Source organism: Homo sapiens, chromosome 2, assembly GCF_000001405.40.
Source record: "Homo sapiens chromosome 2, GRCh38.p14 Primary Assembly".
Taxonomy (NCBI): Eukaryota; Metazoa; Chordata; class Mammalia; order Primates; family Hominidae; genus Homo; species Homo sapiens.
The window spans coordinates 168,111,620-168,131,809 of NC_000002.12; the positions used below are offsets into that span (position 1 = coordinate 168,111,620).

At 40.2% G+C, this 20,190-nt stretch overlaps 1 protein-coding gene across 8 annotated transcripts in view, besides 1 other annotated feature; it reads right to left on the bottom strand.

Moving 5' to 3' along the window:
* The window catches only part of STK39 (serine/threonine kinase 39), a 293,574-nt gene that overhangs the window by 157,598 nt on the left and 115,786 nt on the right, over positions 1–20,190 (bottom strand). For all 8 annotated transcript variants that reach the window (NM_001410961.1, NM_013233.3, XM_047443944.1 and 5 more), the window contains 2 exons: positions 18,091–18,139; positions 17,922–17,987 (listed from right to left, as the gene is read on the bottom strand). In NM_001410961.1, coding sequence (NP_001397890.1) covers positions 17,922–17,987; positions 18,091–18,139 — 115 coding nt within the window. The remainder of the gene's footprint in view (positions 1–17,921; positions 17,988–18,090; positions 18,140–20,190) is intronic.
* Positions 4,743–5,282: an enhancer, noted in NCBI's record as "NANOG hESC enhancer chr2:168972872-168973411 (GRCh37/hg19 assembly coordinates)". NCBI's record gives its function as "activates a minimal SCP1, AML or CMV promoter by ChIP-STARR-seq in naive H9 embryonic stem cells {active_cell/tissue: H9 hESC(naive)}" and the evidence as "EXISTENCE:reporter gene assay evidence [ECO:0000049][PMID:30033119]".

Genomic DNA, 20,190 nt, shown 5'->3' on the forward strand with positions numbered 1-20,190 from the left:
ATTTTAGTTCTCACATGTATACAGCGAGGGGAAAAATAGTCTAAAACAAGCAAAATTCATTACAAATACAGCAATTTTCTCCTTATAAATTCAAAGAAAAGTTTGCAATATCAATTTGTATTCCACTTTTCAATTCCTCTGTACTTCCTAAGGCTCTTGGAAGCTTAAATGTGATATGCAATGTAAGAGCTTTTGCTATTCTCAATTTCCACAGAAAAAAACCTGCCCACCCTCCATCTAAATACTGATAAATATAAAAACCTCACTGGATCTTTATTGGAGGAAGCTTGAAACACATCTGGCCCAACCTCCCAGTATGGACAGAATAAGTCCCATCACAGTCATTTTACCTGACCTACAACTACTCAGCAACTATTTTGGCATACACCATGTTAAGCATTGAAGAGCGAGGACCAATTAGGATGGTCCCTGCTCTTTAACTTACAATCCATTAATTCTTATTTTTATCATCTAGTTTCAGCTTAAGCAACATTTAAAGAAAAAAAAAAAAACACTGAACCAGGAGCCAAAAGTGGAAATCCAGATCTTAGTCACCTATTAAAAATCCATTCAATCTCTACAGAACTCAGTATCTCCTCTCTACTCCAAGAGGACAGGTTCAGAGCAGTGGTCTTCACACTGGACTCTTGGGACTCCTAAGGTTCTTCAAAAACCCCTCATGTGGTTTGGCTCTGCAGCCCCACTCAAATCTCATCTTGAATTGTAATCTCCACGGGTCAGCGGAGGGGGCTGGTTGGGGGTGATTGGATCATGGGGGTGGTTTCCCCCATGCTGTTCTCATGACACAGTTCTCACAATATCTAGTTGTTTGATTAAGTGTGTAGCTCTTCTCCCTTCTCTCTCTCTCCTGCTGCCATGTAAGATGCGTCTTGCTTCCCCTTCACCTTCCACCATGATTTTAAGTTTCCTGAGGCCTCCCCAGCCATGTGGAACTGTGAGTCAGTTAAACCTCTTTTCTTTATAAATTACCCAGTCTCAGGTAGTTCTTTATAGCAGTATGAAAACAAACTAATACAACCCCTATATTCAAAATTTTGAACTTCCAGTAAGATTTTTTTAATGGTTCACAGAATTTTAATACCAGCGGTTTGGACCATTGTTTTACAACCTTTGTCTACCTCATGGCGCACATAGAAAATGATATTTATACAACATACTAGAATCAAATGATGAAGTGATTCACAGCAACTGGCCCCAGAATGTCATTCATCCCAGGCCTCATCCAGCTGCCCTGAGGGATCAGGGGATTACTCTCCTGGCTCACTATACCTACTCACCGTCCACCAGTGTGCTCTGGCCACTGGGTGGGAAGCTCTGGTTGAAAGGACAAATAGGGTATCTTCCAGTTCTAGAGATCCTTTATGATTGCAGTTCCAGTCTATTTCATCTTTGCCCGGCTTCCATGATTAGAAACTCTCCTATAAAATGAGCCCTAAACTGTTTCCCAGCCCTCTTCTCCATTGTCTAAATAGAAACTCTCCACACCATTCTATGTCCATACCAGGATATGTCAAAGGCTAATTCATCCATCTTGCCTCCTCCACAAGCTAGAATGTCACATCCCCCCCTCTATTATACATCAAAGAAAGGAGCACAATGTCAATGGTAAATGAGTGCCACATTAATAATGCTAGTAAAGTCAGAGCTCTCTGGAGACAGATATGCCCACTTTAATAATGAATATAAGACCTATCAAACAATACCAAAAGAAGCCATTGTTTAAGCAGATAAATATTGCAGCTCTGTTTCACACAGTGTAACACAGCGAAGACACATGGAATATTACCAGATAAGATACATATTACATGCAACAACTAGGAAGGGCTGCTCCAGTGACATTCAGAGTGAAAAAAGAGAATTATAAATGACAGTGAGGTGGGCCAGTGGGCAAAGAGAGGAAAGTAGCTTGTGAAATATAGGCATTTTTGTTAAAGCTATATAATCACATGGCAGGACTACCAGATTTTTCTTTTTGTAAAGTGAACTTAGCAATATGGCTTCCTCTCCAACAAGGAGACAAGACACAGAGGCTGTCTCAGTCACTCGCACCACTCTCACTTGGCTTGCTTATTAAAAATGCAGAGTCCTGAATCCTGTCCCCAGACCTGTAGAATGTGAATGTCTGGTTAAAGGGCCCAGGTATCTCACAGTAAGTTTCAGAACCACTGAACTAGGCATGAAGCTTCTGTCAGGAAAAGGGGGACAGGCAAATATCTCTTGATAAGGTAAAGAGAAAAGCAGGAGAGACCCCATAGAAATAACATATCACAGAAAACGTCAGAGGAAGACGAGCTGATTCAGATGTCATTTATTACCAAAAATGTTTACTTTGTTCAAACAGATGCATTCATTGTAACTGTTTAAAAAATACACTCAATAGGCTAACTTTCTAATTTCAACTTAAAAATTCATCAGTAAATTAAGAAATCAGAAATCATACAATTAAAACAAAAATAAATGGTAGAGTTCCAAGTAAGCTTCAGTAATTCAGAGTCCTTAAGGAAACTTCTAGGACTGTGTATGTTGGCAGAAGAGCAAGAACAGTTTTATCTAAAGCATGAGGTTGTAGCTGTTGGGTTATTGTGCTCTACAGAGACAGGAAGGAAGAACGAAAGAGCAGGATGAAATTCACTAACCTTAGACAATAATTTCCTTAAGAAAATAAAAGACAATTCTCACATGACATTTAAATACTTCCTTATGCTCACTTGTATAATACACAACTCCTTCCTTACAAAATGTTCCCTGACGCACAATGAGGGAAGGGAGAAGAAGGCAAAAAAAGCATTTTTAGAATCTCTGTTATAATCTGCATAAGTGTTTTACATAAACTGTCACATTTCAACTTCATAAAAACCCTTGGAGGTTGGGAAGGTGGGGAAATCGAGGCTCAGAGAAGCCATGTGATTACATGAGGTTCAAAACCAGCCCAGGGCCAGTGAGGCTGTAATCTCAAGGTTATACGTTCTTTTTAAAAACAATGCAATGGTTCAGGAAAAAAGAAAAATAGGGTTCTCAACTCTAAAAGTTATGAATGGTTAAGATCATAGGATTATGGAAACTGCAGTGCTATCCTTGAGTGTAGGCACTGGTCATGACCAACACCTGGCACCGCATGAATGGCTGACATCGGACCTCATAACAAGCATCTACAACCAGAAGCCAGGGGATGATGAAAACGGCGTGGTCTTACTTTCAGGCAGGCAGCTGGTTTATCACTTGTTTGTTCTGGACAGAAGAGATTACAGTGACAGAGTAATGGGCAAAACACCTTGTAACACTGCACACTCGGTCTGTGTCCAAGAACAGACTGCAGAACAAAACGGCTTCAATACGTTTTACTACCAATGGCTCTCTCCTAACTAACTTTAATGGCCCCAAGAGTTCAGGACCCTAAGCTGGGATCTACATAATAGGCTCTAGGTCAATTAGCCTGAAGTACCTCGTATAATCTAATCTCTCCTAAAGTACTGAAAGTCTCAAGGTTGCAGAACCACCAGAAGATCTGGAATTCTCTCTACAAAACAGCTAACTGTAGATCTAGGAAAAAAAATGAAATAAAGTAAATGTTCATGGATAACATTCCAATGCCAAAAATAAATAATATTAAATACCATATGCTAGGCACTGAATTAAGCATATATACGCATGCACCCATGTGCATGGGTGTATACATAAGTAATGTTCTACAGATGATGGACCTGAGACTCAGGCTGGGATTTGAAACATAACACCTCCCACTTTAAACATATGTAAGGTGATATGTGTCAATAATTATAAACCATATACTCTTTGACCAAGCAATCCTGTTCCTAGGAAATAGACTAACAAAATAGGTAACATCTATGTAATAATGCAAGTACAATGATGTTCATCCCAGTGTGGTTAACGATTTCTAAATTGGCAACAATCTAGTATTTATCAAGAAAAAATTGATTCTTAATTATAGTCATTCTTGCAGAATTTCATGCAGCCATTTGATTACGCTAATCTATGTTTGTTGACATAAAAAGATGTCCAAAGGTATATCTTAAATGAAATTGCAGGTAGATTGCAGGACAATAAATATGGCATGATTCCAACTTTGTTTTCTGGAGAAATGACTCTTTGAGCTGAAACTGAGGTCTGCTCAGGATGAGAAGAGCTGACACTTCCAGGGGGAAGAGCAACATGGACAAGGGCTATGGGCAAGTGGACAATAGAGAACTGAGGGTGGAGAATGCAAGACAAGGCTGAAGAGCGAAGAAGGGACTAGACCATGCGAAGCACTGGAACCCCGGTTAAAGATTTTAGTTTTTGCCCAAGAAGAACAAGAAGCCACTGAACAGTCTCCATGTCACAGACAAGGCACTGGGGAGCTCAGCTGCCACTCAAGGTTACCCCATGAGTGGGTCGTAGAGCCAGGGCTGGCTGGAGTCTATCTCAAGAGCCAAAGCTTGGTCTTAACCTTCAAGCATAGATTTTTATGGTCCCAGCTTCCTGACCAAGAGCTACTCCTGAGCCTTTCTCTCCTTCATCTGCCTCTCACAGCTTTCCACAAAGTCACAGAGAAAGCCCACCCCTCACCCAAAACAACTTCAACTGGCCTTTTCAATCTGGGTTAAATTAAAGGCTACTGTTTGCATTTCCCAGCTCTATGATTGCTGTGAAAGTTGTACAAGGGCGCCTTAATTTTGTATATGTCTATATGTGAAGAACAAAATTAAAAGTCATTAGACACTCTTCTAAATCGGTATTTGAATGTGTCAGAAGTAATTCAATGGAAAGCTTAGAAAATTCTATATCAAAGTGCAACCTTAATCGAGTCCCTTGAATTTTAATTTGTTTTAGAACTACTGGATTTCAAAGTAAAAAAATATATTTTTAAAAACAAGGTATTTCTGGCCTTTTAAAATAAATAGAGCCCTGAATCTTTGTTAAGTCAATCAAGTTTGATTAGCCTAAAACAAGCAGACTCCCGACCCCCAACAATGATGTCTCAAACATATGTACCACACCCCCTGCTGGCCTCTCCACATTCCCTGTGATTGAATGACCACAACCTAAGAGGCCAGGGCAGAGGGGCAAACATTTGCCTTCCTCCCACAGATGATAGAACCCTTCCTTTCCCCGTGATGCATAAAAGTGCCATTACTTTCCATTTCCTTCACCTTCCCTACTCCAAAACATCTTACTCATTTTAAAGACTTGCAGGATCATGATATAAAAAGTTTAAATTATTTCTCCTAAGTGAGGAAATAAGTAAAAGGTAATCCAAAAGTGGAGCGTACTAAAACCTAATTTAAAGCTATTTTTGGAATATCTTCCTAATTAAATGCAGCTTCAGGTAACAGGAAAACGTATGTGCATCCTGGCTCAGAGAAGAAAATGACAATAGTCAATATATGCTGAGTGGTAGGGACTACATTTTTGTTGTCAAATAATACAAAGTGCATAATTCACAATTATTACCTAATAATATCTAACCATTCCATTCTATGATCATGTGGCAAAGGTGAATCAAGTTAATGGCTCACTCAAGACTCTCAACAAGTTGGTGCTAACAAAGTTGATTTTAAATTTAGGTTCGGCTAAACCCTGAGTCCCAGACTTCAAATACAAGAATACAGCACCAGCTGAAAAATATCTTAACTATTCTTCTTTAAAACTAAAAGCAGATTTCCTCTACCTCCCCTTGCACTCTCACACCAGCTCCCATGAAGACGATCCTCATCACCATCTTGCTTGCTAAACTTCAATTTGAAAAATAGTTACTAATTGACCAAAATACTATGTTGGGTACTGAGAACACAGAGATAAAAGGACACCATCCATGCTCCACAAGAATTGATAGTAGGCTACAGAAGGTAAAACTAGCAGAAAGTAAGCTATAAATGACACCAAGTGCAACAACATATTTAAGCTCAAGGTAAGGAGTAGTACAGAGAACAGACTGATGAACCTCCTGGGGTGCTGGGAGGGTAGTATCAGAAAGCTTCACAGAAAAGATGCTAGGCTGGGAGAGATACAAGTGTAGGGAGAGGCCTTCATGGTGCATGTGGGGATTTCAGGAGTGTACTGGTAGAAAAGTACAATTACCAAACACATCTAATTTGGTAAAGATGTGTTGAAGGCCGAGGTGGCCCGTGGCTGAGAGAAAGCCTGGAGACATAGACCATGGGACCCTGGAGTGATCCCTTACCTCCAAGTGATGTGCACCTCATCTTATAAGTGGCGGGAACTTGTATCTTATCCTATTAATGACAAGAAGCCATTGAGTTTTCAATCAGGGAGAAAAGACAGTACAACTATAGTAGAGTTTTGACAAGATCAAAAGGGCATTTACTGACAATATTTTATATTAGTTTTTCCGCAACTCTAGCCAAATTATTTTCCTTTCGGAAGAAAGGAAAGAAATGGTACACTAGGATTAGAGGGAGCTGAGAGGCTGAATAAAGGCCACCTACCGTAGGGAAGGTCAGCACCTAGTAGGTTACCAGGATGCTCGGGGAGCACTGCATGGACAGATGGAGGAGGAGGAGGAGGCAGTCGGGAGCTTCTCTCAGCAAGTAACACGCCACTTCAGTTCCAGAAAAGCTAGCTCATGCACGCAAGCTTTTGGGAAAAGTTAGCAAATTTCCCAAAGGCAAAAAGGAAGCACATAATATGTTTGAAGACTATCCAGACCTCACAAATCTAACTGGATGTGATTTCCAGTAACAATTAGTTTTCTACAAACTAAATTTGTAGAAACAGTATCTCTTACAATAATTTCAGAGTATGTGTCATTATTTCTAAATATCCAAAACTGGACCTCCAAGTCTGTGAAAGTTTACACAGCTCACTGTCTTTCAAGATCAATCTAAAAATAAAGACATTCTCCCTAAATGGGGATCAGCAAATTACAATTTCCAGAGTGGATCCTCTCAGCTCCCAGTCAAAGGCAACCAGAAAGGAGTCACTTTCCCAGAACATATGCTTTCAAAAAAAAAAAAAAAAAAAAACAACAACTCAATTCACCAAATGAATTGAAAGTAACTCTGTAAGATGCTTTTCCCCCTTGCTCTTTCCTCTACCCTCACCTCTGCCTAATTCACCCCCAGTGCGAACACCAGTCAAGCCACAGACACAGAGCAAAAGGAAAAAATCTACGGCTGCAAGGCTTTTTACAGACTGGTAAGCAATTCCTGTCCAGATTCTTAGTCAATGAACTGTTCTAATAGCACCCCCTAGTGACCAAAAGCTCTTTTCTGACCAAAGGAACTCTCAGTTCTCAAATAACTAAAAAGCAAAGAATTTAAAATAAAAAAGCAGTGAAAACACCAATGAGCTCACACTCTGTGAACGCCTGTCCCTGTAACAGCCCCAGTGAAATCAGTAACTTTAACCTCTCTGGCCTACTGTTCTCTCAGCTCTAAAATAGGAAAAATAATATCCTCAACCACCCTTGCCCTCCTCCCTGTGAGCATGTGAGTTCCTCAATGAGATTTATTCCCAAGGCACATGGTCGGTTTTAAGCGAGAGGATGGGAAAAGGAAACACAAAGTGGAGAGAGGACATGTGCACTCAGGCCGATGTGGATCACTGGGAGTATTTTATATTAAACCCATAATATGCACGGTAACTGCGGAAGTGGGTCCACTTCTCCTTCACTGTTATTATTGTACATGTTGACTCTCTTCTACCCGTATTTACCAAGCTCTAAGGAGAACTGCAGAAACCAAAGAATTTTCTAAAAATAGCTTGAGACCACAAAATACTGGAAGCTCTCCAATCCCATCTTCAAAATTGAGATGTTTGTTTCTGACACGAATTATGTAAAATGCAAATGGTAGATTGCTTTGATTTGCTAATAGAAAATATAACTTAAAAATAGTAATAGTGAAAAGTCGTTAAACCATCACCCTTCAATCTCCTGCCCAGTAAAGTAGCACCCTAATTGACTAAGGTGTCTCTTGTTCATGGCTCAGTAGGGACCTAACACCCCTTTGATCCCTCAACTCCAAGTCTGAGGCCTTCGACAAAGCCAAAACTTTTGCTCAGTTAGCTTTCCACAATGGCACAGACTTAAAACCCATTGCTGCCCTCTACTGGGAAAACTTGGAACAAAACTAACATCATTCCATCAAGCATTTGAAATCACTCTCTCTTCTCTGCTTTAATGATAATGCATAACCTTCGATATTTTATAAGTTAATTATAAGATTCCAGGAGGGGAAAAAAGCAATTCTGTAGAAACTCAGGGTAATTTTCCCTCTTTATCGACTAAAAGAAGAAACTAAATGGTAACAAACTGGGATACTGGCTTTGGACTGTTAGGACATGATGATGCAGTTGGCCTTGGTTAAGGCTCGACCTCCTTAGGCCTTAATTTTCAGGCCTGTACACAGAAGCATGGAAAACTAGGAGATATTTGTGGTTCTCAATTTTAAAATCCTGTAACCCTTTAGGGATAGCTTAACTCACTTTTAATAGATGGTTTTTCCTTTTCTGTTGGTATTTCAAAATATTTATAGCTTTTTAAAAATCATTCTTAATAGTCTAATGTATCTTATCCTCTGGCCTAACCTATTTAACATATCTTATACTCAGAACTTTACTGATTGTTGTATGGCTGCAGTAATTGAGATAAATGTGACGTAAGCATCTAGCAGGATGCATAAAGGTGCACAATAAATATCGTTTTTCTCTCTTCCCCCTTCACATGTCCCCCATCTACCAGCTTCATGACCTTTCCCGTAGCTGTAGCACAGATGCTATGCCCACATACCAAAGCGCTTATTCTCTATTACTCTTTGAGTTTTGCATGTCTTGTGACGTTTGTGCGTTCTTCACAGAAAGGTGAGTTTCACTGTCTGTGCTATGTCCTTGTATCATGTGCACCTGAGTGCCCACTACTGGTAGCAGTGGTTGTAATGGAAACAGCTGTTCTAGCAGCAGCAGAAATGGGAACAGCAGCAGGGGTGCCCACAGCTGTGGCAGCAATCATAAATGTTACAAAAACAATCTGGACTATAATAACTATAGTAATAAAAGCAATATATGTGATTATTAAAAAATTTTGCTATAACCTGTGCCACTTATTATTTTGTCCCAACCACTATTATATTATGTATTACCTAATTTAGTCCTCCCAAACATAGCTATTATTACCATTACCACTTCATGAGTGAGAAGCTGAGCTTCTGACGGTATCTAACAACTGTTGATGCTAACCAAACTCTCACTAGCCATCTCTCTCCCCAACATAATCTCCAAAGCCTTTTTGTCACCTCCTTCCCTCTACACTTGCTAGAACCCTGGCAAACTTCCCAGATTCCTGCAATGATGCCTGCAGCATCTCCTAGTGCCTGTAGCATCTCCTAGTGCCTGTGAATAGCACAGACATCCTCCTCACACAATTTAAATGGTGGCCGACTCACTCTGAGAATGACAAATACGCTCCCATTTTCCTGTGTACACCACTTAACTCTGCCTACCTTCTCCATCTATATTTCCTTCCTGTCCTCTCCGTTCTCTTCTTCTTCATTCTGAGGTATGATTTGGTGGAAAGAGCATAGATTGAGAATAAGAACTGGAGTTCACTCCTGCTTATTTGGCCATGTGACTTTGGGCAGGTCCTTTTCACCTCTCACATTTCCATCTGTAAAGTGTGACAGTAACACCTGCTCTACCTGTCTTCAAGAACAATTGTTTGGGACAAATATGGAAGCATAAATGAAAGTGATCTGAAAGCTGTGAAAGAATATTGGCTGTGTTTGTATTTAATTCTCACTACTCTTAGGCTCTTCACACATACACGCCCCTTCTCAGGGCAGGGAGGGTTTACTGTAGTGAAAGAAAGCCCTGGTTCTCACCCACTGCCAGCACCTTGATGGATCGGAAAAGAAAACATGAAGACAGGTGAATAGGCAATGGCAATGAACTAACTACTGTAATTATTTTCCTTCTTTCTGTAGGCATCCATAGGCTTTTCCTCCATTTCACCCAAATTAACGGCAATGCAGAAACAACCTTCAATACCCATCTGCACCCCACCCCACCTACAGGACACTCTCTTCACTCCTGATTTCACTACATACTTCTAAAATGTCCAGTCTTCCGTAGCCACAATAATCATTCTCCTTATTTACATGACAATCACACTGCCACTGCTGACTGAGCACCTGCTATGTGTCAAACACGGCACCAGACATCCTGCACAGATCATCTCTCATCCTCACAGCAACACAATGTAAGTATTGTCAGCTCTGCCTTACAGGTTAGGCTCAGAGAGATTAGGCAGCTCACCCAACAAAAGATACAGATATAGCTCTTGCTGTTTCCAGACCAGGCATAGAGACTGGGGCAGCAGGTGCACCTCCACTTCCTGCCTAAATCTGCTAGCAAAGTGGTTTGTATTGTTTTGGTTTTTGTAAAATTTTTATTTTCGTTTCAGGGGCACATGTGAAGGTTTGTTTTACAGGTAAATTACGTGTTGTGGCGGTTTGGTGTACAGATTATTTCATCACCCAGGTAATAAGTGTGGTGCCCAGTAAGTTGTTTTTCGATTCTCACCCTCTTGCTATCCTCCACCCTCAAGTAGGCCCTCATGTCTATTGTTCCCTTCTTTGTGTCCATGTTTACTCAGTGCTTAATTCCTACTTATAAGTGAGAACATGCGGCATTTGGTTTTCTGTTCTTGTGCTAGTTTGCTTAGGATAATGGTCTCCACCTCCATCCATGTTGCTGCAAAGGACATGATCTTGTTCTTTTTTATGGCTGTGTAGTATTCCATAGTGTATATGTACCACATTTTCTTTATCCAGTGTACTGTCATTTTGGGTTTGATTTTGTTTGAGATAGGGTCTTGCTCTGTTACCCAGGCTGGAGTACAGTGGTGTGACTATGGCTTACTGCAATTTCAACCTCCTGGGCTCCATCAATCCTCCCAACTCAGCCTCCTGTGTAACTGGAAGCACAGGCACACACCACCATGCCCAGCTAAATTTTTTTTTTGTAGAGACAGAATCTTGCCATGTTGCACAGGCTGGTGTTAAACTCCTGGGTTCTAGCAATCCTCCCATCTCAGCCTCTCTAAGTGCTGGGATTACAAGTGTGAGCCACCACACTCAGCCAACAAGGTGTTTTTATACACAAGATTTCTATCATTCTATCTATCAATAAAATTCCTCATTAATAGCCTATGAATGTAGAGCCATGACATAAAGTATAAATGTTTCCTTGAAAAAAGATTAATGATTCAATACAGTAAATATATTCACTTTATCTTTTAATGTTTAATGTAATCAGTGAATGTAAATAAATCCATCCTATTAAGAAGTGATACTTGTGTTTACAATAAAGAAACTGGAAGGTCCCACCTTATGCATATGATCAAAGTGAACGTTGCCAGTAAAGGAATAAATCAATACCATGTGCCTCTTAATATGATACAGAGAAGAACCCAACATCACTTCTGAGGTATGTCTATCAAAGAGTGCATAAACTGAATCTGATCATTCAGAAATATCACACAGACCTAAACGGAGGGACATTCTATAAAATAACTGGCCTATACTCTTCAAAGGAGTCACAGATGGGAAAAGAAACACTGTTCTAGATTAAAAGAGACTACAGGAGGTGTAACAACTCAATAATTCTGAACTGAATCCTGGACCAGATACATGACATGAATGGGAAAATTGGCAAATGTAGCAAAATTCAAATAAGATCTAAAAAATAATAGTATTACATCGATGTTCTTTTCCTAATTTTGAAAACTGTACTGTTGCTAGGTAAGAGAGTATCCTTGTTTTTAGGAAATATACAGTGAAGTATATTTAGAGGTAAAGGGCATTCTGTCTGCAACCTACTGTGGAATGTTTCAAAATAAAGAGTAAGAGAAAACACATACGAAAATTCTTGGCACTATTTTTCTAACTTTTTTGTAAGTCTGAAATTATTTCATAAGAAAAAGTAAAAACAAGCCAGGCACCAATGGCTCATGCCTGTAATCCCAGCACTTTTAGAGGCCCAGGTCAGAGGATCACTTAAGGTCAGGAGTTCAAGAGAGCCTGGCCAACATGGTGAAATCCCGTCTCTTCTAAAAATATAAAAATTAGCCGGGCATGGTGGCGGGCACCTGTAATCCCAGCTACTCAGGAGGCTGAGGCAGGAGAATCGCTTGAACCTGGGAAGCGGAGGTTGCAGTGAGTGGAGATCACGCCATTGCACTTCATCCAGCCTGGGCAAAAGAGCGAGATTCCATCTCAAAAAAAAAAAAAAAAAAGTTAAAAACAAACAGGACAAGTTCTCAACACTTGTAAGTATTAAATAAATGTGAATTGAAATATTCCTACCCACTGATTCCTAAGCATATCAGTGGATCCAGTGGGGCCAAGGGCCTTGGGGCCTTGGCATGAAACCAATCTCATAGCCTAATATTAGAAATTCTGGGACCCACAAATAACATCCCAGTCTTTCCACTTCACAGCGGTTCCATCCAAAGACAGCAGCGATGTGATACCCTTTACCTCCTTCTGATAATGACTAAACATTGTACTGTTTAGTTAATTGCTTACTTAATTTCATGATTAAGAAAGTTCAAGCAATAACCCTCCAGTAAATCTACTTCCAGTGAAAACACAGGCAACCATAAGAAGGGAAAGAACTGCCTATTACATGTTTCCTCTTCATTCCCTCCTATGGCCAATATGTTTTTTGGATGAGCAGTGAGCATTCAGACATTTGCATAGCTACGAGCCCCTTGCCCTCTGTCCTGCCATATGTGGGTTATATTTTTTATTTCTATTTTTTTGAGGCGGAGTCTCGATCTGTTGCCCAGGATAGAGTGCAGTGTCACGATCCTGGCTCACTGCAACCTCTGCCTCCCGGATTCAAATGATTCTCCTGCTCAGCCTCCCGAGTAGCTGGGTTTACAGGCAAGTGTCACCACGCCTGGCTAATTTTGTATTTTTAGTAGAGACAGGGTTTCACCATGTTAGCCAGGCTGGTCTTGAACTCCTGACCTCAAGTGATCCTCCCACCTCGGCCTCCCAAAGTGCTGGGATTACAGGTGTGAGCCACTGCGCCCAACCCATATGTTGGTTTTAGAAAGCCACAGAAAGCATATGAATATGAGTGTGAGTGTGGTGCCTCAAGTATGTTATCACTAACATAAAACTTAGACATCAGCCAATTCTGAGGGTTAAATGTTCCTGTAGAAGATGCACACAGATTATGAGACCATCATTCTCAGCAAACTAACACAGCAACAGAAAACCAAACACTGCATGTTCACTCATGAGTGGGAGTTGAACAATGAGAACACATGGAGACAGGGAGGGGAACATCACATACTGGGGTCTGTAGGGGGGTGGGGGACTAGGGAAGGGACAGCATTAGGAGAAATACCTAATGTAGATGATGGGTTGATGGGTGCAGCAAACCACCATGGCACATGTATACCTATGTAACAAACCTGCACGTTCTGCACATGTATCCCAGAACTTAAAGTATAATAATAAAACAAAAGAGTTGATGTGAAACATGGGTAAAAATAGCAAGATACTGTCTGTAATACAAAGAAAAGGATATAATAAGAACTGATTTTGATAATCAAAAAAAAAAAGAAGATGCACACAGCCCTAAGCATCTACATTCAATTTTAACTGAACCATTGACTCCCTTCCCCACCTAATGAATTCAGTACAGTAAAAGATGGAACACCACGTGGTTAAGCTTTCAAACCCCAAGACATGGCTGGAGACAGGTCCCTCAGAAAGTCACAGGAGAGGCAGCGATGGCTACAAAGCCTTTTATTCTCATGCACAAAGATAGTGAAAACTTGAAAAAAAAGTTATACAGCTGCACTTAGCTCTGTTCTCATGGGTCATTACTAGCATGTTCTCATTTAGAATATATAGAGTGTCTTGAGGTCCAGGAACATCCAATCTTATATTACCCTTCACCACATGCCTGGGCCCCTCAGACTAGAGCCAAAGAAAATCAAGATGATCCCTAAACAACACTGTCAGCAAAAGAACCCAGAATGGACCAAATATTCTGCCTGTAGGAAGAAAATAAATATCCTCAGTTTCTACAATTACCACACACCCAAAAAAAATGTTTTGCATACTAAATTACCAAAGAGGCCATGTCGATCTTTTTCCATTTTCTATTTTTTCGTGATTTAGAGGAGTCAATCCGGATGAAGACAAGATCACCTACCCTCGTGGAATTATGTGGCTCCCAACAAAAACATCACATTTTGGCCAAACATGAGTATGACGGGCCTCTGCTTCTCTCCTGCTAAAGGGCAGCACTGGTGGGCTCCATGGGGCTTTCTAAGAACAGCCACAATACCAGCCCCTCTTCTCCTTTAAATATGAAAATTGTTCACATTAAAGAAAAATGCACATTGAAAATTATCTCTTAATGTTGGTTAGCAGAAGAGAGGAGAAGAGAATGCTGTTTATGACAGCAAATTTCTAATCAACATGGTTGCCTCCATGCCCAAGAGCCCTGCCCACAGGCCCAGGTATCATTTAAACACTCATGTGTCAATGGACTGTCTGTTTCTCTTTGAAAAACAGCGAACTGATAAGACAAAAATCAATGGATCAACATCAACGAGTAGCCTCTGAGGAGCAATCTATACCACAGAAGCCAGAGCAAGATCAACTGGGAGGCGCCACAGTGAAGAGGAGAATGGCTGAGATCTCAATCAAGACAGTCTAAGAACAAATAAATTAACGACTCCCCTGAACCAATTCTTAAACAGAAGTTACTTAAACACTGGAACAACCTAAGACAAGCAGAGAATCCTACAATAAACGTTTTCATTTCATTGCACAGGGTGATTAAAATCACATTTACTTTCCAGCAGCCACGTCTACACGAAGTTTCCCATAAGGATGATCATGGTTGTTTATCAGAATCACAAGCCAGAGCGGGGCTTGCGGGGAGACTACCCACTATTAACAGGAATCCTAGGAACACGTGTATGCCAAGCATTGTGGGGGTTCAAATGAGTGGAAAACAGTTTCAAAGGGCTTTTCCTTGGCATGTGATCATTTGGTCAGTAAACATTTGTGGGCACTTACTATGAATGAGAAATGAGCCATGATCGATGCTGTCCCGGGCAGAGTATGTCAAAGAACCTACAGGTGAGGGGTGGAGTATAGCTGATAACCCAATTGCTCATTAAAATTAGAATTATGATCGGAAAACAGCCAATATTATGAAACTAGAGAGCCAGGATAACAGCAAAACAGGCCACTCTCTTTTCTCTAGGATGCTTAAAGAACTAATTTGCATTCTCCCTTCACTCCTATGTGACACTGAGCTGTGCGGCCACCTTGCATTTGAAGGGATGGATGATGGAACAAGACCTGAGGTTCATCTAAAAGCAAAGAGCAAGTAAATGGCAGAAGACATGGTTGAAAAATCACATCTCACGAAACTCTAGTTGCTTATTGTTTAAGATAGATGCAAACTGGGGTTTGGAATGCACAGCACACTAATATGTAATAAGTTTTTTGTTGTTGTTTGTTGTTGTTGTTGTTTTGAGACGGGGTCTTGCTCTGCCGCTAGGCTGGAGTGCAGTGGCACAATCTCGGCTCACTGCAACCTCTGATTCCCTGGTTCAAGTGATTCTCCTGCCTCAGCCTCCCGAGTAGCTGGGACTACAGGTGCCTACCACCACGCCCAGCTAATTTTTGTGTTTTTAGTAGAGATGGGGTTTCACCACATTGGCCGGGATGGTCTCGATCTCCCGACCTTGTGATTCACCTGCCTCGGCCTCCCAAAGTACTAGGATTACAGGTGTGAGCCACCACACCCGGCCAAGTAATTTTTTTCTTCAAAGAAATGAAGGTTACAGCCTGAACAGATTCTTCATTTTTTCAAATTTCAAAAAGCTCCAAAGGAAAGTATGGGTTACACAGTGGGAAGCACAGATGGTTCAGTTTGGCTGGAGGTTAGAATATAAGACTGGAAGTTGAAATAGTGCCATAAATTCGAGGCTAAGGATCTTGGTCTTTATTAGACAGGAACCATTTTTTAAATTTCTATTTTTTCATTTATTTGCTCTTCTGGTTGTTTTTGTTTAATTTTGGAAACCACTTTTGAGCAACTAAGACCAGAAAGTTAAATCTTGTTAGAAATGCCTAAGAAAGAATAGAAACGGGGAATGGAGGGAGAACAGTTAGAAATTTATTGCAATTGTCCAGTTAAAAATAGTGGAGAAAAAGGTTTCAACCAAAATTGCAGAAGGAATCATAGGGAAGATGTGGAGAGTGGTTAGATGGGGAAGACAAGGTAGGGAAGGAGGGCTCACATATAGTCCCAGGGTTCTGAGGCTGGGGGGCTCGGAAAGAAATACAGAGCACAGGAAGGTTAGGCTTGGGAGGGAAGGTGGGCCCTGTGGAGTCACTGTGATAGCGAGGCTGGCAGGCCACTTAACAAGGAGCTGGAGTGTGAGGCCAAAGCTGCAGAGAGAAAGCAGCCTAGAAAACACCTCTCAGGGACCAGCTAACAGGATGGGATCAGATGACACTTCCAGCAAAAGAAGTGTGGGCCCAAAAATAAGAAAAAGAAAAAGTCCTTTGAGGACATGTACTATATAAGCTAATGGCTTTTGAACAGCTTTCTCAACTCTGGCTGACATTTTAAATACTTGATCAAAAGACCCCACGCCAGACTCCAACACTCCTGGGAATCTCTCCAGGCATCTCTTTCAGTCTTCTGATAGGAGTCCTCAAACTCTGGTGCCCTCAAACTGAAGATTTAGCTTTTCTGTGCTTCCCCTTCAGATATTCCACTCTGATGGACTGTCTGCTCAGCGCTCCCTGTCCCCTCAGAGACCAACTGGGCTCATATCTCCAAAGTCAACACATCAATCCTCCCCAGCCACAGCGCAGAAACCAGCCCACCCCACATAATTCTTCTGGTCCAGGAGAGAAGCTCAGATACCTTCACAGAATGGGACATTTCTTAAAGTCCACTTGAAAATCTGTTTAAAACAATTCTAAAGCATCAGCTAATGCATTTTCTACAGAATATTTTAGAAAAGGCAGTATCTGGAATTTAATATTCAGCTATGTATACCTTGGCAAGATGAGATACAATCCCTAAAGCACATTTCTTTGCCATTTTTATTTACAGCACAGACAACACAGATTCATGTCAGCTTTCTCTGTAACTGTAAATGGGGGTGAAGAACCTCCTTTTTAAAATATGTGACTATATACATATTTTTAATTATAAATATCTAATATAATTTAAAAACCAAACTAAACCAAACCAGAGGTTAAATTGTATTAGGTTTCATACCACAATGAAATCTGTAATTACAAATAAATAAGTCTCTGGAAAAATACATAAATAAATAAATACATACATACATGCCATTTTAGAAATCTAAAACCTAAAATGGAAGATTGTTCAGCTAATCATTACCATAATTCAGTTAACATAAGGTAAACTAAAAAAGGGACCATAGGTCTTTCATGAGGAAAGAATGCTATCTCACAGCTATTCAAACCATTAAAAGTTGTGTTTTTTATCTTCATCGTTACAAACTTTATCTAAAAAGTGAGCATGCCTCTTCTGTAAAACCCAAAGGAAAGACGTTCAAGGATATTTTACCTCTCCAGTATTTAAACCTCATCACATCCCCTCCTTTCTGACCTTCTTTAAGCAAAGCTGATAAAGGGAAAAATGAAATCATTTGAGATTCAAATTGTTTCCACACCCAAATGTATAACAACCAGCTGAGATAACGAAAAGGCAAATGCAGTTATCTGAGTAATCACTAATGAGATATAGCGTCTGAATAGTATATCCTGCATATGTGGAAATCTTTTTCCAATTTTTCTATGGGTTTCATTTCCCTGGGGATTGGTTCCTACAGGGTCATGAAGGCTAATGGCACTTACCTTTTTGGCTCTTTGGGCTATGTCTGGTGTTCTTGTAAGCAGCTTCTCAATCAGGTACTCTCTGTTCTGCAAAACAAATATTCCCAACAGTTTAACATCAAATATGATACACATAAATACACAGTGATTTCAAAAATAGCAGATTTACTTGGGTTTTTAAGCATGTTACCTTGGCTTTCTGGAAGAATTTGCATTTTAAAAGTTCTGCTGCTGTGGGCCTGAAAGATCAATAATAAATTAGAGTTGAAACAATGACCACTTAATAAATGCACTGCCTTGATGAAACAACTTAACCTTAAGAGTATTTCTGGAAGACCAATTTTAGTAATAGCAAAACTGGGAACCAAATTAATCATAGGCTGGCACCAAATAAAATAGTGCCAATTTTCCAGTTCTTTCCAAATACCTCTACTGCAAAACACATAAACTCCTGTACATTAAGTGCTTGGGGCGTAATCAATTTTCCATCCTTCATCCTTACACTTAACTAAGTGAATTTAGTGTTTCTAAAAGGGGGCAGACTGACACATCTGTGAGCTAAATTTCTATATTTATTAAGAAACCATACAAGCTACCATATGACCCTGTCAAAGAAAGTATACTCTACTATGCTCTATGCTTCCCCAAGAGCAGCAGGTACTGCAAGGGGTCCACACATCGTGTCCACGCTCTGTTTGCCTGCTCAATAAACCTGTCTCAAGTGCATATGGACTGCTGTTTGCCAGGTGAAGGTAAATGCGATCGTGATTAATAAAATGCAAATTCATTTAGAAGCATTACCAGATGGTGTGATTATTTCCTCATGGTGTCATTCAACTTGCTTCTCTAGCCCATATTTCCTGTAAACTCTAAGTGAGGTCTGAAGGCTTCAAAGAGATTTAATTAAGCATTTGGGGCAAGAATACTTCATAGATGATGGCACACACTTCTTACAGCAGCACCTCAGAGGCAGGTCCTGTTAGGTCATTCCACTGTTAGTGATGCTAAATTTAACCATCAGTCCCCAGGCACCAAATCTCTCCCTTGCAAAGGTCATGTTTTCCCCCACTGCAATTAGCAAGTGTTCTGTTGGGTAATACTTTGACATTTTATGAATATCCTGTTCCTGAAAACCTTTCTGCTAATTGTGTTCATATCTTTGCCTTCAATAGTTATTTCATAGGAAGTAGCAGAATACTGAGTTCCTACTTCTATCTTCCTTGTTTACTGACTGACATTCTTACACAAAGAATAGCTTCCTTCATCAATAGTTCCTTCCAAAAAGGCAGCCATGAGAAAGAATCAAATAACGGGAGTATAGGGTTGCTCAGCAAGACAACTGGCCTGATCTCTTTCAGGGGGACTGAAGGAACTGTTCTAGACTCAACAGACTTTACAAAACATTAAAACCAAATGTAACACACAGCCCTGGACTGGATCCTGGGCTTGAGAAAGAAGCCACAGAGGCTATAAAGGACATTTGGGAATCATTAGAGATGTGTGAATCTGCTAAATATTAGATAATTTTAGGAACGTGCTCTTCATTTTCTTAGGTGTGGAAAATTACTGTAGTTGTGTAGGAACATGTCCTTGTTTATAAGAAATGCAAGCTAAAGTATTAAGTCTTTTACTTTCAGAGTTCAGCAAATAAAACATAGATATCACAATTATAGAAAATGTGAATACTTGTTTAATCTGGGTGATGGTATAGAAGTAAACAATGCACTACTTTTTCATCTTTTCCATATGTTTTAAATGTTTCATAATAAGATATTGGGAGAGAAAGGAGGAGGGATGCATTATTGAATATCATTAGGTATTATCTTAGGCAACAATTACCAAACGCACAAATAATATTGTAGCAGGGGGTGGGGCGGGGCAAGTTGAAAAGGAATCCTCATGCTTGACAAAATTGGAAACTGCTGCTTTGGAATCAGGAAGCTCCACTAAAATATTCCCAGGGATCAAACCCAAGCATAGAAAGAATTAGAAAATGTCATTACGTGCATCAGTACACAAACTGTGTAAGTCTACAGGGGCCCCAGAAACTATTTCTGTGCAAAGAAATTTTCTGTGTAAATCATTACTGCTTTTTTCCTCAGATTTCAAGTGGAACACTGGTTATGGGTAGGTACATGACAAAGAACCCTGGATCTCCGTATCTACCTGCTAATTGCTTTGAGTAACTAAGGGTCTAAACAACAGGTAGGCCATGAATCTGCACCTTGTTAAATAGGCCCTAGAACTAAACACTACAGTATAACTCTTTCAAATGATTCAACTTTAGTTG